Source organism: Homo sapiens, chromosome 8 (assembly GCF_000001405.40).
Source record: "Homo sapiens chromosome 8, GRCh38.p14 Primary Assembly".
Classification (NCBI taxonomy): Eukaryota; Metazoa; Chordata; class Mammalia; order Primates; family Hominidae; genus Homo; species Homo sapiens.
In genome coordinates this window covers 22,577,364-22,598,894 of record NC_000008.11, presented here as the reverse complement: position 1 = coordinate 22,598,894, position 21,531 = coordinate 22,577,364, and the positions used below count along the sequence as shown (strand labels likewise).

Below are 21,531 nucleotides of genomic sequence, written 5' to 3'. Positions count from 1 at the left end.
CGAGGACCCGGCCCCCGCCTGGGGACGCCGTCTGGCTCGGGGCGCCGGTCCGCCCGGCCCCGCGGGTTCACACGCAGCGTCCGTCTTCCTGCCGCGGACTTAGAGCCGGGGCTGGCTGGAGGACCGGACAAGAGCCAGGAAGGAAATGGGAGCCCCACGTGCTGGCGGTGGGAAGAGCGCTGACCAGGACGCGGGCACCCGGCGCTCCCTAGCAGTGTGGCTTGGGGGCCAGTCTCTTGGCCGCTCGGAAACCTGGGCGATGGGAGGGGAAACGATCCTGCCCACCGGGAAATCTTTTACAACTGCAGAACGCGCGTGTGTCCTCAGCTAGATCTGAACCCCCTCCCGGTCCCCTGCCTCTTTCTCATCCCGGGCTCCCTAAAGCTGGGGACTGGGTAGGTCTCAAGGTCTGGAAAGATGCGAGCCAGCGGGGAGCCGCCTGGAGACTGGGCCAAAGTGTAAATGTCCCCCTGTTCCCACCTCACCCTGCCTTTGGCCCGTGGGATTCCACCCCTCAGTCCCCAACCTAAAAGGAGCCCAAGAAGCTACTGAAGATGAGAGAGAGCCTGGTGACCAGACTGGGGCTGGTGTCCTCTAAAGAAGGCACCTCCTCCAGAGGGAGGGGGCAGGGCTGGAAAAATCCCAGCAGGACCCAAATCCCCCGGAGGCAGATAAGGGAGCTGGAGGACGTGCAGACTAGCACCTGGACCTCTAGGGGAGGGGAGAGGCTGGAGCCAGAGCCACTGGAAGGAAGTGGCTGTTTACCGGGAGGGGTAAGACAGTCTGTGCATCCCCTTCCCTTTGCTCCTTTCTGGAACCAGTCCCCAAACACCCACTGCAGGAGCCTTTATCAGAGAGCCACAAACTATCAGATTTTAAAACTTTATAAAATGGGGAAACTGAGGCCCACAGCCAATCTCTGCGCAGGCCAGCCGAATGACAGCCAAGTGCCAGAATTGCTGGCCATGTCTCAACAGAGTCACATTCAAGCCCAGGCCCTTCCCTGCTAGCCATGGGTCCTCTGGGTTGCCCCCACCCTGCCCAGTCCTCCTAGACAGTACCCATTCCGCTTCTCACAGGCAGAGAGAGAACCAGAGTGCTGGGTCTCCAGGAACTGCCTTATGCAAGACCAAGAAGATGTGTGGAATCACACCCCGGCCGTGCCAGAGCCCTGCCAGCCCTCCCTGGGTAGGAGGGAGCCCAGACTCCCTCCAAAGTAAGAGGGTGGGGGAGGGAGCCTTTGCCAGATCGCGCCCTGAATTTGGAGAATGTGGGGCGGGATTCCAAACAGTCTCTGTGGTGACTCTGGGACAGGAATGCATCTGGAAACAGGAAGCCCAGCCAGCAGGAATGCAGTGTCTCAGCACAATGCTTTGTGTGTGACTCAAAAGAACCTCCACACACACACCCCAACACACACTCCCCTCCAGGCCATGGCGCACCCCTCCTCCCCACCACCGCCATGCAGATGCGTCCTGGCCCAGGACCAGCTCAGAGGAACCTGAGCCCTGGCGGGCACGGGGGCAGGATCTGACCCAACACCCAAAGTAGGGGGATGCCCCCTTCCTGTGGCAGCCGCAGTCCCAAGCCTAGAGCCAGGCCAGGGCTCTCTGAGTGATGCTTGAAGGAATGGGAGGGGCAGCCCGTCCATGCACTCCTGACAAGGTAAACCACTGCCATGAGTTCCTGAGACAGACAGTGTCCTGAGCAGGGTCAGCCCTCAGGCTGCCCAGTGGCCCCTGCACTTCCCATGGGGAAGTCCTGGCTTCAGGAAGTGGGTTTCCTGCAAGCTCAGCTGGAGCTAGTACCCGTGGGAGGAAGCACAAAGCTGAGAGCCTACAGAGCGCTGGGGAGGGCTGTGGTGACCTCCAGTTGTGACCAGAGGTGACCAGAGCTGTGCCTGGAAGGCTGCCTCTGATGACAGAGGGACAAACTCTGCCCCCCACAAGCCAGAAACCTGGGAGGCAGGCTGTAGATCCATTCCTTACTAGCTAGGAGTACTTGGACCATTTACTGAACCTCCTGGTCCTCGGTTTCCTCGTCTGCAGAGAGGATGGTAACAGTACCTATCTCGGGTTGTGAGGATTAAGTGAGTTAAAGCATTGGAAGTATCCCTAGCACATCAAAAGCACCCCCAGAGCTTAGCCATTATGACTGTCTAGCTGTGCAGCTTTGGAAAAGTCACTTTCCCTTCTCTAACCAAAGGGGGTTGTACCAGATGCTCCTTTGGGCCACTTCTAACTCTAATCTGTCACTTCAGTTAATCTCCTCAGTGCAGGAAGGGAAGAGGGCACTGCACTGGACAAAGTCCGGGAACATAGACGGGCGGCGTGCGGCAGAGGGAGTGGGAGCACGCAGCTAGCTGGCTTAGGTTGGGGACAAGATCAGAGGTAAAAGACCAAAAACTGCCTGTCCCCAGCCTCCTCTGCTGACCAACTCATAACTCCGTTCTTCCAGGGGAGTTTGCTCCCGAGCCGGGCTGATTGTGTGGCTGCAGAGAACCCTGGTGCTGAAACCCTCAGGACCCCTGGGAGGAGAGATGGCTGCCACACCAAAGAACAAGAGCCAGAGGGGGATTTGAGCTGGAACCTACAAAGCCCTCAGAAGGCATTCGATGCCTCACTGGAATGCCCATCATTTCACATGTCCCCAGTCCCCACTTATCCCCCTCCACTCCTATGACACTGCTGGCCCAGCATGGCGTGCTACATACAGGTGGGAATCTGTCCATATCAATAATCCAAACCATCTTTTCCAACCTGTCACTTCTCTGCTTAAAACCTTCCAAGTGTTCCCAGAGGCTGGGCAAGGTTAGCTCACGCTTGTAATCCCAACACTTTGGAAAGCCAAGGTGGGAGGATGGCTTGGGGCCCGAAGTTCGAGACCAGCCTGGGCAACATAGTGAGACCCCATCTCTTAAAAAAAAAAAAAAACTTAAAAATTAGCTGGGTGTGGTGGTGCACGCCTGTAGTCCCAGCTACCTGGGAGGCTGTGGGAGGATCTCTTGAGCCTGGGAGGTGGAGGCTGCAGTGAGCTAAGATTGTACCACTGCACTCCAGCCTGGGCAATAGAGCAAGACCATGTCTCAAAACAAAATGTCCCTAGAGCCTCAAGGGGAAGTTCAAACCACTTCTGGCATTGACAGCTCCCCTCCGATCTTATCTCAGTGTCCCCATCAGCCACTGCTCTGAGCTAAGCATCCCCCCAGCAGCCACCCCATCACTCAGCATTCCTCTTCTCCACGTCTCCAAGACCCAGCCCTCCTTTTGCATCACGGCCACTGCTTTGAACTCACGGGACGCTCCTCGGTGCGTTCCAAGGTAGCCCTTGGCGCTCAGTGCCACATCCTCTTATTCATTCATGCCAGCTCAGTCGCTGCCACTGGCCTTCTACCTCCAGGAAGGCATGAGGAGTGCTGTATCTTTCTGTATTCCCGCTGTGCCCAGAAGCCCAGTGTTGCCCCGTGAATGGGCCCCGCCATGGGCCAAACTGGACACTAGGTGGCGCCAAAGAGACTACCCCGTTTCTGACCAGCGCCTGGGGCTCATGGAGTCCCGCGCCAGACAGCCTTGATCTTTTCTATAAAAAGAAAGACCTTTCTCAGGCAGCCACCCAGGCAAAAGGTGAGACAATGATATCATGGTGTAAATTATATCTACAGGTGCCTGAGGAGGCAACACAAACATCTGCGCCAAGATTCCTTTCACAAAGAGCCGGAGAGCACAAAGCTGCCGGCAGGGACCAGCCAGGCACCCTGGGAAGCCCAGCTTTGATCTTCTCTGAAAAGAGAGCTGAGGCTGCCCCCTCCGCAGCATCCTCTGGGACTAGCACTAGGGGTAGTGGGTGAATGACGCCCAAAATCCTAGGCTGGCAGGGGAGACTACTGTCCCCTGCCTCAACTCCAGTGAACCCCCAGGGCAGCTCACCTGGCACTGGCCACATGCATTCATTTGTTTTTGTGTTTTTTTCAACAGACAGGTCCTCTCTCTCTCCCAGGCTGGAATGCAGTGGCATGATCACAGCTTAAGGCAGCCTCGGCCTCCTGAGCTCCAGGAGGGCTCCTCAGGCCTCCCCAGTACCTGGGCCTAAAGCCTGAGCCACCCTGCCCTTTTTCCCCCCTCCAAATCAATCACCAATGAAGCCAGCAGTCTCTCCCAGGAAAGAAGTGGAAGGTGTCGGTAGATCAACCTGGCCCCGGGGGCCCAACCCTTGGTGGGCGGCCGGTCCTCAGGATCAGAGGTTGTCTCACCAGCTTGGCTGGATGGGTCTCCTGGTCTTCCTCCTGTCCCTCCGCTTGGCGCCCTCCACCATCCCCTCCAAAGCTTCCAGTGACAATCTCATTCCCTCCATAGCACAAGCGTCCTCCTGTAAAACGGGCATCTTTACAAAAAGGTTAAGGAATGACATGACTCCCAACCTAAAAGAGGCAAGGCCCTTCCATGGGAAATGTCAGGTGCAGGCAACTGGCAGGGGTGGGATTTGAGGGAGGGAAAAGAAGAAGAAACGTATGTTGCATAAATAAAGACCCTCCACCCAGTGGTGGGAGCAGGTCATACCCAGGGCTGGCGGTAGGAAAAAGAAGGAAGGGACATCTACTTTATTTTGTCCATATTCATATATTTATAGAGCTAGTATGTCAAAAACTTTACACAGTGACACCATTAGCCCCTGGCCCACCCCTCTCCTTCCCACTTCTGTGTTCGACCCTACTTAGACCCTCGCACACAAAGGTTGATCAAAGGCAGTGGCCACCTCAGACTAGTGCAATGCCAGTCCTGCAGGGGAGAGGCCTGGCAAGGTGAGGGTGAGTCTCCCACAGTCCAAGACAGGTCCCAGACCTTGGCCCACCCAGCGAGGACAAAGGGGCCTCAGGTCTCCAAACTTAGCTCATGTAAGAGCAACTGCCCACCATTGTCCCTGCCATGCCAACTTATATAGGCATGACCCTGGCCCAGCAGTGAGGCAGGCTGAGGGCATGGCGGGCTCAGGCCCGAGAGCTGAGGGTGGCAGGTGCGGAGTAGCGCTGGCGGGCATGCTTCTCACAGTACAGCTCGTCACCCACCCAGAAGTGCCCGCGCATCTTCAGGTTCAGCCCACAGTCGGCACAGGTGTAGCAGCCGGGGTGGCGGTACCGGCCCTCCTGGATGCGCACAGCCTGGTTCCTGAAGGGGAGGGAGAGGCTTTAGCTCAGAGCCACAGCACCAAGCAGGAGGCCACCATGCCCAGGGGGCCTGGTCCCCACTGTAGCATCAGGACCTGGGTGGAGCCCAAAGCCTTCTCAGAGACTAGACTTTTTTTTTTTTTTTTTTTTTTTTTTGAGATGGAGTTTTGCTCTTGTTGCCCAGGCTGGAATACAATGGTGTGATCTCAGCTCACAGCAATCTCTACCTTCCGGGTTCAAGCGATACTCCTGCACCAGCCTCCTGAGTAGCTGGGATTACAAGCATGTGCGACCACACCTGGCTAAGTTTTTGTATTTTTAGTAGAGACGGGTTTTACCGTGTTAGCCAGGACGGTCTTGCCCTCCCAACCTCAGGTAATCCACCCTCCTTGGCTTCCCAGAGTGCTGGGATTACAGGCGTGAGCCACTGCACCCGGCCCGAGACTTGATTCTTGAAGCTGCACACAGGAATCTCACTTTGACAAACCCCCTAACACACACAAACCCCCACCACCGCTGCCACTGCTGGGACCCCTAATTAAAAATAATAAAAATAAATAAGTCAGCCAGGCACAGTAGCTCACGCCTGTAATCCATGCCTAGGATCCCAGGTGGACAGATCACTTAAGGCCAGGAGTTTGAAACCAAACTGGGCAACATAGCAAGACCCCATCTCTACAAAAAATTTAAAAATTAGCCAGGTATGGTGGCACACGCCTGTAGTCCCAGCTACTCAGGAGGCTGAGATGGGAGGATCACTTGAGCCCAGGAGTTTGGGGCTGCAGTGAGCCATGACGGCACTACTGCGCTCCTGCCTGAGCAACAGAGTGAAACTCTATTAAAAATATTAAAAATTTTTTTTAAAAGTTGTTCCTCTCACATAAAGACTGTAAGTCCGTCCCACATTGCCTGGATTTTTAACAGAGCAGTGATTCTCAGTGTGGTCCTGGGTCCCACAGCCAGCAGCATCCGCATCACTGGGGAATTCGTGAGAAATGCACATTCTCAGGCCTGTTGGCCTCCTGGAGAGGAGGCTCTGGGGTGGGGCCCAGCCATCGGCATTTAACAAACCCTCCAAGGGACCCGACACACACACCTTTGAGAACCAGGATGGAAAACATGCTTTTTCAACACACATTCCCTATCTCTGCACAGCAGGGGGACTGGATATTCTCCCACTCTGCAGATGAAAACACTAAAGCCCAGAGAGGTTAAGGGATTTGCCTAAAGTCAATCACCTGCCCCTCCCACACTACACACTTCAGAAATTTACCTGAGGGGGGGTTTCAGCAACCTTCCAGAGAATGTGGTTGCATTATAAATGCCACTTAATGAGAAAAATGAGCCCACCTCGGCTGGGCATGGTGGCTCACGCTGTAATCCCAGCACTTTGGGAGGCCGAGGCAGGCGGATCACCTAAGGTCAAGAGTTTGAGACCAGCCTGGCCAACATGGGGAAAACGCGTCTCTACTAAAAATACAAAAATTAGCTGGGAGTGGTGGCGGGAGCCTGTAGCCCCAACAACTCGGGAGGCTGAGACACGAGAATAGCGTGAACCTGGGAGGCAGAGCTTGCAGTGAGCTGAAATTGCACCACTGCACTCCTGCCTGGGCAACAGAATGAGACTCCGTCTCAAAAAAAAAAAAAAAAAAAAAAGAAAAGAAAGAAAGAAAAGAAAAGAAAAATAAGAAAAATGAGCCCACATCGGGAAAAATGCAGCCTGCTCCAAAGGGGGAAGAAGGGGAAAGAGCAAGATTTTCCAAGAGGATGTGCTGTACCTCCGGGCAGATCTCCAGAGGCTTTGAAATGATCAAAGAGAAATCAAAAGGGATGGGAAAAGGAGGAGAGGGAGAGGAGATGCAGCCGGAAGCAGCTAGCCTAGGCTCCTAAGAAGCCTGTAACTAATGCCCCCAAAGCTGTGCAACACTGCTTCCCCTAGAGTCCCCGACTGGGTACCCAGTGCTAGCCCCTGATGGGCCCGGCCCTTCCTGAAAGCATCCAGTGCCCTGTCCCCCTCCCCACTCCCCTGTGAAGGCTCAGGTCCCCCACCCCCCTCCACACTCACGCGATGCTGGTACTGCACTTCTCACAAGTGTGGAGCTTGGGAGGGGTGGCCAGGGCCCTGGAGGCGGGCAGGGAGGACTGGGGGCTCAGTGAGCTGGGCAAGAAGGCTGGCGTGCCACCTGGGGGCAGGGCAGACAGACATGTGGTGAGAGCCCACCAACCACAGCATCCTCCCAAAGATGCTCTGAGGAGGTGGTCTTGGAAAGCACCCTTATAAGAGAAACCCTAAAGTCACGCTGACAGTGGCACCAGGTAAGGAGGAAGGTGATCTTGCCAGATCCATGGCTGAGGCTGGGCAAGGGCATGAAGGAGGCAGGTACAAGGCCGAGTTTGCCCATCCAAGGCCACCTGGGGCCATCTGTGCTCAGTGTCAGGTGAAGCAGGTGCTCCCTCTCTAATGACCTGGTAATAACAGTGTGATTAGATAATAACTGGAGATGGCAACAGGAGCGCAATGCCTCGGTGTGGCTTTCAAAGTGCTTTTCCATGCCTTGTCACATCTGAGCTCTCAAGCCACACGAAGATGAAGCCCAGGGCTACGGGGCAGCTGTCGCCCGTCTGCAGCTAAGGACGCTGAGGCCTCCTTGGCAAAGTCACTGCTCTCTCCCTGTGCTGCCTCCTGGGACCTTCTGAGGCCTCAGGGTCAAAACAGACCAGATTTGCTCCAAACCTTCTCACCCCACCCCCTGTGCCTCTGCAAATGCCCCTTGGAGCTAAACATCAGCGTTAGAACCAGCCACCTGCCAATCTCCAGGTGTGCCCTGTCCATATGGCCTCTTACATTTGCTCCCAAAATGGAAATCTCACCTTCAACCTCACAGTTGTTCCTGGAGGCCAGTTTCCAGCCTGCATCTCTGTACTCCCCACTCCCCTGCTCCCTTTCCATTGCCACCCCAATGGGACTCAACTGAGGTCCAGGAGCCCACACCAGCCACTGGGAAGGAGAGCCTTGGAGACAGCCAGGCGGGCCAGTGCCCAGGGCCAGGGGCACCATTTCCTGGGAAACCAGCTTCTCTCCATTTTAAAATTCAAAGTCATAGATGAATTATGAAGCCTCTCTGGCCACTCTCCTACCTGTCCTGTCATCTCCCTCCCCTTCTCCCCACTGTTCTAGAGGGCATTGGTGCTGAGCACCTTAAGGACAGGGGCTGTGGGAGTAGTAACTCCCACAGCAGCGCTCACTTCCATGGGAGCTGGCCAGGCCCATCTGCCCCAATGAACGGAGCTCCCCAAGGGCAGGAGTGGGGTCATGGCCACCTATCCCCAAACTCTGCACACATCTGGTCCCTCAGATGGGCACAGTCAGTGTCTGTCACATGAATAACGGAACTCTGGCAAGCCTCCGTATGTCTTGCTCGCCTGGCATCAGTATTTAATGGCTTTCCTGGGTTAGGGCACTCCTCAGCCTGATTCCCTTCCCGAGGGCCCTCACTGCAGGGGCTTGGCCTCCACTGGCGCCCTTTCATGCTATCAGGCCCCCATTCTCTCACTCCCACACCCCAAAGCCCTCTGGCCGCCAGCCTCCACCTTCCACAGTGCTTCCTGCCACCCTCTTAATGCTGTTTAAGTCTTGATGTTTTTTCTAAGGCCAAGAGGCCAAGTCAAATCCCTCTTCCTCCAAGAAGCCCTCCCTGGAGGCCCAGCCCCAGGCCCTGCCACCGCTTTTATCACTCGAATGACACTTTCCCATCCCAGCTGGCTACTGCCCACTACTCTGTGGGAGCACGCTGGTGACCCTCCCGGACCCTCCCGGACCGTCAGCTCCTTATGGGCAGGGGCTGGGGCTTCGCGCTCTGCTCGGCTCCGTGCCTAGTCCTGGGGTGAGCACCTCACAGGCACTTAAGAACACTGGTTCACTGACCCATCCAGTCAGGGCCCGGGGTACGGAAGGGAACCTCCTTCCCCTCCCCAGCCCCCCAGACCCTCACCTCTCTCCTCAGCCTCCAGGGCTTCCTGCAAGAGCCGAAAGGAGCTGGACTGTCGGGGGGCCGCCCGTCCCTCGCGATTTTCCTGCAGCATCTTGAAGACTTCCGAGTCCTCGTCCAGGAGGAGGCTTCCCCCTTCCGAGTCCATGCTGCAGGGTGGGAGGCAGCCAGGAATGAGGGTCCCGTGCCGGAGCTTAGGCAAGCAAGGGGGTGGGGGGCAGGAGAAGAGCGTGGGGGAGGGGGAGGAATCTGGGAGGTGGAGGAGCCAACTGGGCTTGGGGGACCCCATCCCTCTCGGGGAAGCCCGTCTCCCTCCTGCCCCTCCCAGCCTTCCAAGACCCCAACCCGACCCTCCGGGGCCTGCTGGTACCTGGGCCTGGAGGAACGAGGGCCCGGGGAAGGCGGCAGCACCAGCACCGCCGAGTCGCCAGCGCGGCCGAGGCCGGCCTGTTGGGAGGAGGCAGCCGGGGAGGAGTCAGGGCCAGAGCCTTGGGCCAACACACCCAGGAGGGCCTAGCCCGGCTGTTCCCAGGCCCGACACCAGGGGGCCCCCGGCCCTCGCCGACCAGCGGACCCCTGCCCCTTCCCTTGGAGCCAAGGTGTCGGGGGCTCCCAGCCCTCGCCGACCAGCGGGCCCCCTGCCCCTTCCCTCGGAGCCAGGGCGCAGAGACTGCCAGGGTCCAGAGAGGGAGGGAGGCATGCGGGTTCTGCCGGGGACCGGGCAGCAGGAAGGCAGCAGGTGACAGCTAAGCACAGAGTCCTCTGTCACGCACGCTATTATCTGTGTGCAAAGACATTGCACACTGGGGCCTGGCTCCGATCCCACGGAACCAGCAGAGAGGAAGCACGCTGCCCTTTTGCACTGAGGAGATAGAAACATAAAGGGATGAAGCAAGGGGTCGAAGTCCCCTGGGAGTCAGGGCCGGCCAGGGCAGAGGCCCTCTTCCCAAGGAGAGCTGGTTCCTCTCCTCAGAGGCGGGAGTCTGGGCTAACCAGCCTGTCCCTACTCTGCTGGGAGGTCTGGGCCTGCCCCGTGGAGCTTTGGGGAGCCGAGCCCTCCCTGGGCCACACTCAGGCAGCAGTGCCTGTCTCCAGGTGTGCCGTGTCCATCTGGGGCTCTTAAATTTGCTCCCAACATGGAAATCTCGCCTTCAACCTCACAGTTGTTCCTGGAGGCCAGTTTCCAGCCTGCATCTCCGTACTCCCCACTCCCCTGCTCCCTTTCCGTTGCCACCCCAATGGGACTCAGCTGAGCTCCCGGAGCCCGCACCAGCCACTGGGAAGGAGAGCCTTGGAGACAGCCAGGTGGGCCGATGCCCAGGGCCAGGGGCACCATTTCCTGGGAAGCCAACTTCTCTCCATTTTAAAATTCAAAGTCATGGATGAATTATGAAGCCACATGGAAAATTGCACACATCCTTAAGCTAAAGCAAAAACTTCTGGATCTTAAGAAAACAACCCTAGACCCTCACCCCACCAGGCTGCTACCAGCAGTTGGCCTCGCATCCCTCTGCTCTCAGGGTTCTCCAGTAAAACGTTCTATAGGTAAGGAGACTGCAGGTCAGAAGGGCAAAGTAGCTGGTCCAAGCCACCTGCAGCATCAGAGGCAGGGCTGGGACTCCACACCTGGGCTCCAGGGCAACTGCCCGGGGCTGTGCGGTCACCTGAAGGACCTAGAGATAGTTTCCGCAGGAATTCACGAGCCACATCACATCTCCAGACAGACCACCATGGGCCCTGCCTAGGGCACCGGCCCGGGATCCCTTCATGAGGCAAGTCCTCATTCCCAACCAGAGGGAGAGGGGCTTTTTTCACTTGGCCTCTGCTCACCAAGGCATGTGCCTACCAGCAGGGGGAACCTGTAATTTCCAGAGGCACTATAAGGGCATCCTGAGCCTCCAGCTCTCTGCAGCCTTGGCCATGTCAGGAGGCCACAAGGACACAGCACCCCTGCCTCTGCAGCCCACAGCATTCCTCTCACACACTCCCACCAGACTGCCCAGCCCAGAAAAGGAGACCAGCTCCCCGACTGGGAGAGACAATGTCTTTCTCTCCTTCCTTTCCTCCCAGGCGGTTAGGGGTTAGCGACCCTTGCCTTCACAGAAGAGACCTTTTATCTCCAAATCCAGGAAAGCTGCTCCCCCTTCACCTGCCCATCATGAGCTTGTCTGTAGCCAACACCTCTCGAAATGTGTGCTGGGGAACGCAAGGATGTTCCTGGGGGTGGGGCAGGGCAGGGCAGGGGGTCAGGGGTAGAAATTCAGGAGAAATTCTGCTGTTCAACAAGTTTAGGATATAAAGAAAAATTAAGTGGGTTTCTTTCTCATGGGACCTCTTAGAGCCTTTAAGACTCTCAAGTATAAGCGATTTTTTTTAAAGAGATGGGGGTTTCACTATGTTGCCCAAACTGGTCTGGACTCCTGGGCTCAAGCAATCCTCCCGCCCCAGCCTCCGGAGTAGCTGGGGCTCCAGGCACATGTCACAGCACCCAGCTACACAGTGATTCTCAAAAGGCAGCTGTGGGACCCTGAGACTTGTGCACCCGTGGGACCACAGCCTCATTTGTAGACTAGAACGTCAGCTCCATAGGGTCAGAGGTGTCACTCTGTTTTTCCACGATTGCATCCCCAGAGCCCAGATGAGTGTCTGACATGAAGCAGCTGCTCGACAAATATTTGCCGAAGGAATGAGCAGAGTCATCAAGGTCAGAGAAGGGAACTCAGAGCGTCTAGTCTGACCTGAGGCCCAGGGAGAGGAAGGGGGGCTGGTCCAAGTCGTCAGGCAGAGGTGGGACCGACCCAAGTGAGTCTCCCCACACCCAGCTCTGGGCTCGTGACCCACAAGCCCCATGCCCAATTCAGCGGGTGTAGGCTGGAGCCTGGGAAGTTGCATTTCCAACAAGTTCTCAGGTGTTGCCGCTGGTTTGGGAGCCATGCCTCTGTACCTCCCACACCCTTCATTTTCCTGGACTGGGGGCAACACGATGGGGAAGCTCGGGAAGGCTTGCCCTTGAGCACGTGGGTCCTGCTGAGACCACAGCCCACCAGAGGTGTCGCGGAACAGAGCCAGGACTGACACTGACCAGCCCTCTTGAAACAAGCTCATTCCTGGCTCATCTCAGAACAAAGGTTCCCCCTAAAAAATCCCCCAGCCCCAATACATCAGCCGTCGCCCGGACCAGTGTTTCTCCATCTCCCAGCATGTCGGGCCTCCTGCTCATCCTTCCCTAAACCCTCTCACCACCACCTCTAACGTCCAGCAATACTCCTCACACAGCCTTCCTTCCCCTCCCCTCCCAGAACGCCTCCTGCTTTTGTAATTAATACCACACTGCTTAGTGCCTAATTGCTCCAAAATTGTTTTGCAAGTTTGCCTTATCTCTACAACTGCATCTTCAATTCCTTAACAAGGGGACCCATGGAATATATCTCTATGGCCACAGTGCCAGGCTGGCCTCTGGGTGGGCACGCAGCGGGTCACTAGGCAGCCGCTGTTCGGAAGGCCCCCAGAAAGATCCTGCTCCTTCCTCCTCCAGAGCCTCTGGGTTCTAGTGCCCTCCCTGGCCACCCCCAAAGGCTCTGCTTTCTGGAATGCAGAATCAACCCAAAGGTAGGGCTCAGCAGCTGGGCCATATCCCCATCACCCCAAAGGCTGGACGTGCCCCCCACGCCGTCCCCAGCAGCTGCGGCCCAGGGCTGTTGGCTGCCTCACTCCCTCACCATCCCCCACCGTTGAAGAGGAGAAATACCACCCAGGAAGGGGGTTAGGCTGTCACCAGGGGCCACTGGGACCTGGCTGAAAGAGAGTCCAGGGGAGCTGGCGGGGGTAGGGGGAGGAGGAGACAGAATAAGCCAAGAGCGCTCAAGGCAGAACCGCAGTCCCACTGGGGCATCTCTGGGCTGAGTCAGAGGAGGAAGGGAGGGTGTGGGTGGGAGTCAGGCAGGCCCGGGTCTTGGAATGGGGAGGAATGTGTTCGAGAGATGCAGCCAGAGACGAAAGGGAATCATCCCAACAACAGCAGCGAAACTATTTCAGCCACAGCCCAAGAGAAACATACTGGGCAGGGAGGAAGTCAGCAGGATGGGAGGGGAGGGGGATGAGGGGAGGGGTGCAGGAGATGGACGGGCTACTGGGCACTGCTGGGCAGGTCTTGGGCACAGCACAGGTGGCCCACGACCAGAAGCATGGCCTCCCTGGCTCAGGAGCAGAGCATGCCTGTGGCCAGGAGAAGGAGGCCATGGCTGCCCAGGTGGGCCTGGCCGCCTGCAGTCCCGGGGCACTGGCAACCCACAGGAACGGGAGGTGCTTCTGTTCCTCCAGCCTGTCCTCCCCCAGGGAGCCTCACCTGTCGGCTTCCAGGGCGGCCTGAGTAGGACAGGCGGTCAGCAGCGGGGAGGCCCGGGGAACATGCCAGACTCTGGAAGCTGAAAGTGGGAAAGGGACAGTGTGTGCCAGGGCCACCCCCAGCCTGCCCAGGGAGGATGCTGCCCCGGGCTCCCAAGCAGAGCTCCTGAGACTCAGAGGAGCCAGCCTGGAGCTGGCAGCGCAGGCGACCAGGGTACCCACTCACAGGCACACTCACCTGCGGCTGATGGCTGCCTCTCCAGTGAGGGAGCTGCTAGAGGGTGGTGGTGAGAAGGGGCTGCCGGCCCTCGGGCTGAGGGAGGTTGGGCTGGAGTAGGAGGACCTTAAGGAGGACTGACTCTCAGTGTATGTCCTCACGGAGCCCTGTGGAGAGAGTGACTGTGTCAGGAAAGGCAGGGCTGCCCCGCCAAGGCCGCCCTGCCCTCGGGCCTCACTTTCATGCACCAGTGATCAGGGTGCTGAGGCTGTCAGGGGAGGGCACCAGCTTACCTGGAAGCGAGTCGCCAGCACTTCCAAGGAGCTGTCCCCATTGGTCTGCCCTGGAGACGTAGCCTGAGACCTGAGAAGGCAACAGAGGGAGGGAATGTCACAGGGGCCCTGCACCCTGCAACCCCCAAAAGAGGCCAAAACTGTTCCCAGATCTAGTTCTCAACACCAGTAAAAGCTACAGAAAATTTGGACATCCGGTTGTCAACTTTTAACTTTGTCAAACTCAAGACAAACAACTATCATCAATGACAACCATGGTTCCTTAAAAGAAAGGACAGTTGGCCAGGCACATTGACCCACGCCTATCATCCCAACGCTTTGGGAAGCCAAGGCAGGAGGATCACTTGAGCCCAAGAGTTCAAGACCAGCCTGGGCAACATAGGAAGACCTCATGACTACTAAAATTTTTTTTTAAGTAGCTGCACATGGTGGTGCATGCCGGTAGTCCCAGCTACTTGGGAGGTTGAGGTGGGAGGATCGCTTGAGCCCAGGAGATGGAGGTTGTAGTGAGCCGTGATTGTGCCACTGCCTTCCAGCCTGGGCAACACAGCGAGATTCTGTCTCAAAAAAACACCAAGGCCGGGCACGGTGGCTCACGCCTGTAATCCCAGCACTTTGGGAGGCCAAGGAGGGTGAATCTCTTGAAGTTAGGAGTTCCAGACCAGCCTGGTCATCAACAAGGTGAAACCCCATCTCTAATTAAAAAAAAAAAAAAAAAAATTTAGCCAAGCCATAGTGACGCATGCCTGTAACACCAGCTACTTGGGAGGCTGAGGCAGGAGAATTGCTTGACCCAGGGAGGCAGAGGTTACAGTGAGCCAAAATTGTACCACTGCACTCCAGGCTGGGCGACAGAGTGAGACTCCATCTCAAACGACAGTAACAACAGCAAAACCCACCCCAAAAAAAGAAAGGATAGTTTGGTTCTAAAAAGTAGAACGTACATAACTTCATCAGAAAGTTCAAACATTCAGTTTTATTAGAGAGTCCTCACATTATCCTGCCCTTTTTTTTTTTTTTTTTTTTTTTTTTTTTTCTATTTTGCCTGGACTTTGTCACTGATATCACTCAGCCTCGGGTTTGTAGATTGATTTGGGGGAAGATTACTGATTTTTTTGTTTTTTGAGATGGAGTCTCGCTCTGTCACCCAGGCTGGAGCGCAGTGGTGCAATCTCGGCTCACTGCAACCTCCACCTCCTGGGTTCAAGCAATTCTCCCTGCCTCAGCCCCCCAGGTAGCTGGGACTACAGGTGCCCACTAGCATGCCCGGCTAATTTTTGTATTTTCAGTAGAGACGGGGTTTCGCCGTATTGGCCAGGCTGGTCTTGAACTCCTGACCTCAGGTGATCCGCCCGACTCGGCCTCCCAAAATGCTGAAATTACAGGTGTGAGCCACTGCGCCCGGCCTGATTACTGATTTCATAGAAATAATCCTTTATATTTTAACCCATGGAGAAACTGAAACCCAGAGAGGGAAAGTGAGCTGCCTCAAGTTCTAGAGCCCACGGTGACTGGGCCAGCTGTGCACCCTGCCCACTGGAGGCCAGGGTGCCTTTGAGCGCGTCACTCCTGATCCCTTTCTCAGGGGTCTCCCCAGTTAAACAAAGGGCGAGACCCGCCTGCCTCCTTCCAGACAAGTAGGCCCAGCTCCCCACCAGCGAGAGGGGCACGCCCTCCCAGCTCCCTGGGTACCCTCTTCCAAAGTGGAACCCAGCTGGAGCCCTGAATGGGAGGTAACTGAAGTCTGGGCTGAGGGACAGCCTGCCTCGTCCCATCTTGCCACACATTCCTGGCCGTGAGGCTGCCTCTAGAGATGTAGGGCAACAGGACCCTCCGCTTCCTGGGAGAGCCATGGGATCAGGGTGAGGAGAGCTCAGTCTCTGGCTCCAGCCTGGAGCCCTGCTTCCTGCCCCAGGGCTTCTGAATACCAGAGAGGTCACCTGGGAGGGTAGGAGGCGGGAGATGGGGGCGGGGGGGGGGGTGGGCATCACGTCAGCAAAAGTAAGGAGACTGGGCCGGGCGCGGTGTAATACCTGTAATCCCAGCACTTTGGGAGGCTGAGGCAAGTGGATCACGAGGTCAGGAGATCGAGACCATCCTGGCCAACGTGGTGAAACCCCATCTCTACTAAAAATACAAAAATTAGCTGGGCGTGGTGGCACGCGCCTGTAGTCCCAGGTACTCAGGAGGCTGAGTCAGGAGACTCTCTTGAACCCGGGAGGCAGAGGTGGCAGTGAGCCGAGATCACGCTACTGCACTCCAGCCTGGCAACAGAGCGAGACTCTGTCTCAAAAAAAAAAAAAAAAAAAAAATTAAGAGACTGGAGTCTGGGCTTGCCTGGTGCAGAACCAGAGGCCTGACTTACAGCCCAGGCCTACCTCCCCCGAGCCCTGGTCCCTCCAGAGAACCCCAGAGGAAGAGACAGTCCGAGGCTCCTGCCCTTCCGCTGCCAGACCCTCAGCCTCCTGTAGCTTTCTGCCCCATTCCCAGATGCCATGAGGTGCTCTCTACCCTCCTTCTTGGGGTCCCGCTCCTGCAAACACCCAGGGACCTGAATGACATGAAGGGAGCCGGCTTCTGCCACACCACAGGGCAGGGCAGTTGGAGAAGGAGGGGCTTGGTAGGGCTGAAGAGAGCAGGACAATGTGGGGGTGGCCAGGATGCAAGAGGTGTCTGACTCAGGTTCTAGGCCCGTGCAGAGGGCTCTCCTGGCTCGGGGATCTCCTGGCATTCCCGATCTGTGACTCACTGCAATGCCCCACCCCAGGGAGCCACCTGTTCCCCCTATAGCTTGGCCTCCAGGCCCCACCCTGGCCCCACCTTGGCTTATAGGCTCAAAACCCTAGGAGTAACCCAGGATCGGGCATCTGCCTTCAGTGATGGGGAGGAACAGACAGCCTCTATGAGGAATGAGCCCCCCAAGTCCTCACTTCCAGCTGGGAACTAAACAAAGGCCATGCCCTGTTGGAAGCAGGAGTCCTGGGGATGCAGCCTCGGGCATACCTTTCCCAGAAGGTTCCCCTCTTCAACCCACTTCATGCCCACGCCCTGTGCCCTGCACACTCTTGGGAACCAGTCAAACCCGGGCTTCAAGGTGGCTGGTGCCAGCTCGCCCTGCCCAGCCTGTGACTGCACGCCCAGCCTGGCGCCCACCTTTACCCAACCAGGCATGGGAACACCCCTCAGCCCACCCTGCTGCAGGAAGCAGAGCCCAGGACCTTCTCACCAAGGTGTGGAGAGGGCCCAAGAAGGCCGCTTTAGGGCTGAGCTCTAGCCCATGGGCAGGAGCAAGGGCTGCTCAATACGTGGGGTGGTGGAGGAGGGGGAATGCCACAGGCTCTGCAGAGCGGGAGGCCCTACCGGTCCAGCTGCAGCCGCAGGGGCGAGGGGCTCTGGCGGATCTTGCTCTGGGCCTCGGCATGCAGCATGCCCTCCGCGCTTTCCCCGTTGATGGCCACGATTATGTCTCCAGGCCGGAGGTCAGCGTCCTTGGCTTTGCCCCGCTCGGCCACCTGTAGGGATGAGGAGCTGGCATGCTCAGACCGTGGCCCAGCTGGAGAAGGGACTTCCCACTCTGCTACCCAAGAAACACAGAGGCTGGCTTGACCCAGGCCGGCCTGCACCCTCCTGCATGTCCCTCTGCCTGCTCATGACACCCAGCTGATCAGCCATCCCCTCCAGGAGCGCAGGTGGCAGCCCCCACCCCACACTGGCATTCTAATGGGCCTCCCAAAGAATGTGCAGTGGCAGAATTTCAGGAACTGTGCTTGGAAATACTTTTGGATAGAGAGCCTTGCCCGTGCAAATCGCACCTTGCAGGTGGCTGCCTGCACAGCCCTCCTGTGAATGTTCCCAGCCTGGGCCCAGGTCAAGAGGAGACTGCCAAGAACTCCGGGGCTCTTGTTCTAGTAATCACCCCAAATGGCTGCCTGCAAGTGTGGGGATAGCAACTGGGGAGGCAAGAGCCGGCCCTGTCCTGGTCCCAGCTCCCTTTCACTCCCAAGGTCTGTTCCTGAAGTGGCCACCACATCCCCGTGGCAAAGGGCCACGGCTCCCTTACAGCCAGCACGCCAGGCAGCAGCAGATCCCTAGCTCCAGAACAGAAAAAGCAAGCCATCTGTGCAGAGTGGGGTGAACAGGGCCGACCTCGCTTCTGGCAGGACCTTCTCATCTCTTTGAGCCACCATCCTTACCTTAGTCACCATGATGGGCGTGTGGAAATCCCTGCCCCCTGTGATACGGAAGCCCCAGGGCGCTGGCCCGGCCACATCCACCGTCAACGCCATACCTGAGGAAGAGAGGACCAGGAGGTGAAGTCCATGCCCCTAGCCGGCTCTGGGGGCACTGTAAGGCAGCAGGAGAGGAGCCAAAGGGAGAAGGAGAGGGCACCACAGCTCCCGGAGCAGCTACTCAGGGGCTTTGGGGTGGGTAGAGGAAGTGGCTAACTCCCTCCCTCAGCCCGGTTTCACTTCCCCCCACCCTGGGAAGCCATGCTTCTGGGTTCTCCCTTCCTTAGTCTTCAGCCCAGGGAGCGACTCCCAGGAGGGGGCTGCCCAGGCTGCCAGGCAGGGGGCTTGCTGGAGCATGGGGGGCAGGGGCTGGCAAGTGGAGGGGATGCCAGCACCCCCTCAGTCTCCCCTCCTCCACCATCAGGGCTCAGTCCCACTAGCGCTTGCTTCCTGTCCCCAAAACCCACAGCACACGGTACTTCCTCTCCACTCTGGGGGAGGGCTGGTGAGTGGCCTAGGGAGAGCAGGGCTCAGGAAGCAGGAGTGACGGGTCAAGGAACAGGCTGGCACCAGTACAGACTGTGTAAGTCACTGGCCAGGTGAAGGACTGGTGGGGTGAGGCCGAGTCTTCACATGGGCCTCCTAGCTGCCCACCTCGTTCTTGGCAAAGTGGATCACACGGGCAAGACCGGGCTCCCCACCTCCCCCAGGGGCCGGCTGCCAGGGCAAGGAGGCCAGGGTTCATCTGTCAAGCTGGACACACCCACCCCCAGATTCCTGATGCTGCCCGACAGACAGCCGGGGTGACAGGCCTCCCATCCACAGCCCCTCCGCTGGGCAAGGAAGTGCCCTTGCAGACAGACCCCTGTGGGATTTCCTGAGCCTCTAGCTCTGGAGCCAGGAGCCAATCCAGGCAGGAAGCCGCGGTGCCAGGCTGGGCACCACCCTGCCCAGCACCCATCCTGGGGCTGCCCTGGGGACGCAAGTGCTGCGAGAATCTATCAAGAGCACCAGCGGTCTGTCCGCTCCATCCCCGGCTGCCTTCCCCTTGGGCCCAGGCCTAGCCTCTGTTCCCAGCACCGCCCCCACCCCAGTCCCCGAGGCCGGCTCGCGGCCGCCCCGAGATTCCCAGACCTTTGAGCCGGTCAGTGGACTCCGCGCTGCGGGCGCCGCGGGGAGGTGCCCAGCCCGATGGCCCGGCTCTACCAGTTCTGGAGCCTCCTTCGCTCCGAGGGCAAAGTACCCTGCGGGCTGGGGGCTGGAGGAGGAGCGCTCCGGCCGGGGAGAGCGCAGCTCGCGGGGGCGCCCCCGCTGATGCGAGGCTCCAGGGAGCTGGGCCGCGGACGAGGCCAGGGTTCCGCGCCGACAGGGGCGCGGAGAGGAGCCCGGCGCCGGGGAGGGCGGGCCGCGCGGAGAGGCGCAGGTGGGCGCGCTCACCTGGCTGCCGCTCACCTGTCCGGCTGGGCGCCCAGGCCCGGGAGGGAGGGAAGGCGGGGAGACGCCACCGCTCCCGCTGCCGTCTACCCGACTCTGGGGAGAGCCCGCCCGGGGCTCCCGGACCTGCCTCCGCCCATGTGATCCCGGGGCCGCCCCTGCCGCCGCCCCTAGCCCGAGAAGCCGCCGCCTCCGCGCGGCGAGCCCAGGCGCTGCCACCTGGCCCGAGCCCGCCGGGGGGATGAGGCAGGCTGTCCCCAGGGCCCCCTGCAGGCTGCGACCGTCCAGCCGGTGGTGCCCGCATCCTCCCCGGAGCGCCCGCAAGCCCCCGACTGCCCGGAGCACAGCAGAGCCGGTCCAGGGACTGCCCCGCGCCCCACTTCGCAGACGATCGAGGGGGCAGCCCCATAAAGCTCTCCCACGCCGGCCGCGCTCTCCCGCCCCGCATCCCCAGGTCCTGGGCAGGGTGGGCTGCCTGGGTGTGTCTGCGGTCCGCCTGGCTCCTCCACCCACTCCAGGCTGGGAGGCTGGCGCAGATGCGGCCTTGACACCCACAAATCCCAAACCAAGGCCACCCTCCTGCCCGCCAACTCCCTTCCTGAACGCTGGCTTCTCGGCAGCGCAGAACTTCTCTGCCTGGAATGCCCGCAAAGGGGGACCCGCAGGGGCCCTAGGAGATGGAGAGAGCCTCCTGGCTAGGGGTTCACTGGGCACCCCCACCCCTGGGCTGGTACCTTCCCGTTCCCGTGGGCCCTCACCTCATCCTCTCTGCAGGTCTTCACCCCGCTTCCTGCCCCCTCCCTTGTCCTCTTTCAAGCACCTGAAGCCCAGGCTATAAGGATGAGGAGAGGGCAGCCAAGGAGGGGACCCCGGTGCCAGCTCGGGGAGGAGAAGCCGTACCTGGCAACCCTCTCTCCGGGGACCTCAAGGCCATAGAGCCGCCTCTCGTTGGGTCTCCACTTGGCCTCTGGCTGCCAGGCTGCTGTGTTTTCAGGGGATCACACCTGTGGGCGCAGCTGTGCCTCGCCTGCCTCAGGTGTGACTCATTCCCTCCACGCTCACTCTGTGAAGAGTGCCCTCCCCACGCCCCTCACCTGTCTGTGCCCGCGTCTCAGCCTCCTTGCGTTCACACTCTGGCCCCCCTCCTCCCACAGACCGTCCTGGGTGTGTGTAAACTCCTCTCCCACGGGCTGGTCTCCGGCCTCCCGGCATGACCGCCTGGCCTGACGTACCTGCTCTGCCTCCCTGACTAGACTGGAAGCCCCTTGAGGGGAGAGGCAACTACAGGCAGGGTGAGCACAGCCCCGGGGGCACACAGACCTAGCCCCAAGTGCACAGCTGCGTCTCACCGGCTGTGTGACCTTCAGCAACCTCCTCGGCTCCTCCGGGCCTCAGTTTCCCCATGTGGAAAATGGGGATAATGTGCTGCTTACCGTCTTGTTGTAAAAATTGCTTGGCCACAAGCAAAAGCCAAGGATGGCACAGAGGTGTCAAACAGAGTCCCTGCCTCAAATGGGGTGGGGACTTCTGGGAAGGGACCCAAAGGAAGGGAAGTTCATCCATTCAATTCTTCCACACAATCATTCCAATAACATTCATTCAGTGAATACTGAGTGCCAGGCACCGTGCTTGCCTCTGGGAATGGAGAGTGAATCAAACACAAGCCCATCATTTCCTCAGAGAGCCCCTCCTGCATGCCTTGGACAGACTCTACAAATAGCCCCAGGTTCATCTGGCAGGGCTTTCTGATGGGTGGGTTGTGAATTCACAAAACCCACCACAAAGACAAGTCAGCGAACCCAGGCAGGGCACGCCTCTGTGGCACAGAAGGGGACATGTCCTGCTCATAGCCTCTCTGTGGCCC

The 21,531-nt window shown here is 58.6% G+C and overlaps 1 protein-coding gene across 4 annotated transcripts, besides 14 other annotated features; it reads right to left on the bottom strand.

Moving 5' to 3' along the window:
• Positions 298–1,045: an enhancer, noted in NCBI's record as "NANOG-H3K27ac-H3K4me1 hESC enhancer chr8:22455363-22456110 (GRCh37/hg19 assembly coordinates)". NCBI's record gives its function as "activates a minimal SCP1, AML or CMV promoter by ChIP-STARR-seq in naive and primed H9 embryonic stem cells {active_cell/tissue: H9 hESC(naive and primed)}" and the evidence as "EXISTENCE:reporter gene assay evidence [ECO:0000049][PMID:30033119]".
• PDLIM2 (PDZ and LIM domain 2) lies at positions 869–20,154 on the bottom strand. Of its 4 annotated transcripts, none has more exons than NM_176871.5 (10): positions 18,198–18,420; positions 17,365–17,516; positions 14,005–14,074; positions 13,733–13,878; positions 13,496–13,574; positions 9,521–9,597; positions 9,154–9,299; positions 7,227–7,344; positions 5,063–5,162; positions 869–4,365 (listed from the first exon to the last, which is right to left on the bottom strand). In NM_176871.5, exons 1-10 carry the CDS (start codon positions 18,288–18,290, stop codon positions 4,246–4,248), a joined length of 1,101 nt encoding a protein of 366 aa, NP_789847.1. In that variant the 5' UTR covers positions 18,291–18,420; the 3' UTR covers positions 869–4,245. The 4 variants fall into 4 exon arrangements, with proteins under 4 accessions (NP_789847.1, NP_067643.3, NP_001355049.1 ...); NM_021630.6 differs by lacking the exon at positions 869–4,365 and adding an exon at positions 19,368–20,154 and having other exon boundaries at positions 4,597–5,162; positions 18,198–18,292; NM_001368120.1 differs by lacking the exon at positions 869–4,365 and having other exon boundaries at positions 4,597–5,162.
• Positions 1,046–1,793: an enhancer, noted in NCBI's record as "NANOG-H3K27ac-H3K4me1 hESC enhancer chr8:22454615-22455362 (GRCh37/hg19 assembly coordinates)". NCBI's record gives its function as "activates a minimal SCP1, AML or CMV promoter by ChIP-STARR-seq in primed H9 embryonic stem cells {active_cell/tissue: H9 hESC(primed)}" and the evidence as "EXISTENCE:reporter gene assay evidence [ECO:0000049][PMID:30033119]".
• Positions 8,337–9,337: an enhancer, noted in NCBI's record as "H3K4me1 hESC enhancer chr8:22447071-22448071 (GRCh37/hg19 assembly coordinates)". NCBI's record gives its function as "activates a minimal SCP1, AML or CMV promoter by ChIP-STARR-seq in naive H9 embryonic stem cells {active_cell/tissue: H9 hESC(naive)}" and the evidence as "EXISTENCE:reporter gene assay evidence [ECO:0000049][PMID:30033119]".
• Positions 9,660–9,809: a silencer, noted in NCBI's record as "silent region_18998". NCBI's record gives its function as "represses an Ori minimal core promoter by ATAC-STARR-seq in GM12878 lymphoblastoid cells {active_cell/tissue: GM12878}" and the evidence as "EXISTENCE:reporter gene assay evidence [ECO:0000049][PMID:35858748]".
• Positions 13,550–14,219: an enhancer, noted in NCBI's record as "H3K27ac-H3K4me1 hESC enhancer chr8:22442189-22442858 (GRCh37/hg19 assembly coordinates)". NCBI's record gives its function as "activates a minimal SCP1, AML or CMV promoter by ChIP-STARR-seq in naive H9 embryonic stem cells {active_cell/tissue: H9 hESC(naive)}" and the evidence as "EXISTENCE:reporter gene assay evidence [ECO:0000049][PMID:30033119]".
• Positions 16,494–17,186: an enhancer, noted in NCBI's record as "H3K4me1 hESC enhancer chr8:22439222-22439914 (GRCh37/hg19 assembly coordinates)". NCBI's record gives its function as "activates a minimal SCP1, AML or CMV promoter by ChIP-STARR-seq in naive H9 embryonic stem cells {active_cell/tissue: H9 hESC(naive)}" and the evidence as "EXISTENCE:reporter gene assay evidence [ECO:0000049][PMID:30033119]".
• Positions 16,525–16,819: a silencer, noted in NCBI's record as "tiled region #3420; K562 Repressive non-DNase unmatched - State 22:ReprW". NCBI's record gives its function as "represses a minimal TATA promoter and a strong SV40 promoter by Sharpr-MPRA in K562 cells {active_cell/tissue: K562}" and the evidence as "EXISTENCE:reporter gene assay evidence [ECO:0000049][PMID:27701403]".
• Positions 18,384–18,473: a silencer, noted in NCBI's record as "silent region_18997". NCBI's record gives its function as "represses an Ori minimal core promoter by ATAC-STARR-seq in GM12878 lymphoblastoid cells {active_cell/tissue: GM12878}" and the evidence as "EXISTENCE:reporter gene assay evidence [ECO:0000049][PMID:35858748]".
• Positions 19,204–19,363: a silencer, noted in NCBI's record as "silent region_18996". NCBI's record gives its function as "represses an Ori minimal core promoter by ATAC-STARR-seq in GM12878 lymphoblastoid cells {active_cell/tissue: GM12878}" and the evidence as "EXISTENCE:reporter gene assay evidence [ECO:0000049][PMID:35858748]".
• Positions 19,374–19,463: a silencer, noted in NCBI's record as "silent region_18995". NCBI's record gives its function as "represses an Ori minimal core promoter by ATAC-STARR-seq in GM12878 lymphoblastoid cells {active_cell/tissue: GM12878}" and the evidence as "EXISTENCE:reporter gene assay evidence [ECO:0000049][PMID:35858748]".
• Positions 19,564–19,633: a silencer, noted in NCBI's record as "silent region_18994". NCBI's record gives its function as "represses an Ori minimal core promoter by ATAC-STARR-seq in GM12878 lymphoblastoid cells {active_cell/tissue: GM12878}" and the evidence as "EXISTENCE:reporter gene assay evidence [ECO:0000049][PMID:35858748]".
• Positions 19,704–20,103: a silencer, noted in NCBI's record as "silent region_18993". NCBI's record gives its function as "represses an Ori minimal core promoter by ATAC-STARR-seq in GM12878 lymphoblastoid cells {active_cell/tissue: GM12878}" and the evidence as "EXISTENCE:reporter gene assay evidence [ECO:0000049][PMID:35858748]".
• Positions 19,704–20,653: a biological region, named in NCBI's record as "H3K27ac-H3K4me1 hESC enhancer GRCh37_chr8:22435755-22436448".
• Positions 19,960–20,653: an enhancer, noted in NCBI's record as "H3K27ac-H3K4me1 hESC enhancer chr8:22435755-22436448 (GRCh37/hg19 assembly coordinates)". NCBI's record gives its function as "activates a minimal SCP1, AML or CMV promoter by ChIP-STARR-seq in primed H9 embryonic stem cells {active_cell/tissue: H9 hESC(primed)}" and the evidence as "EXISTENCE:reporter gene assay evidence [ECO:0000049][PMID:30033119]".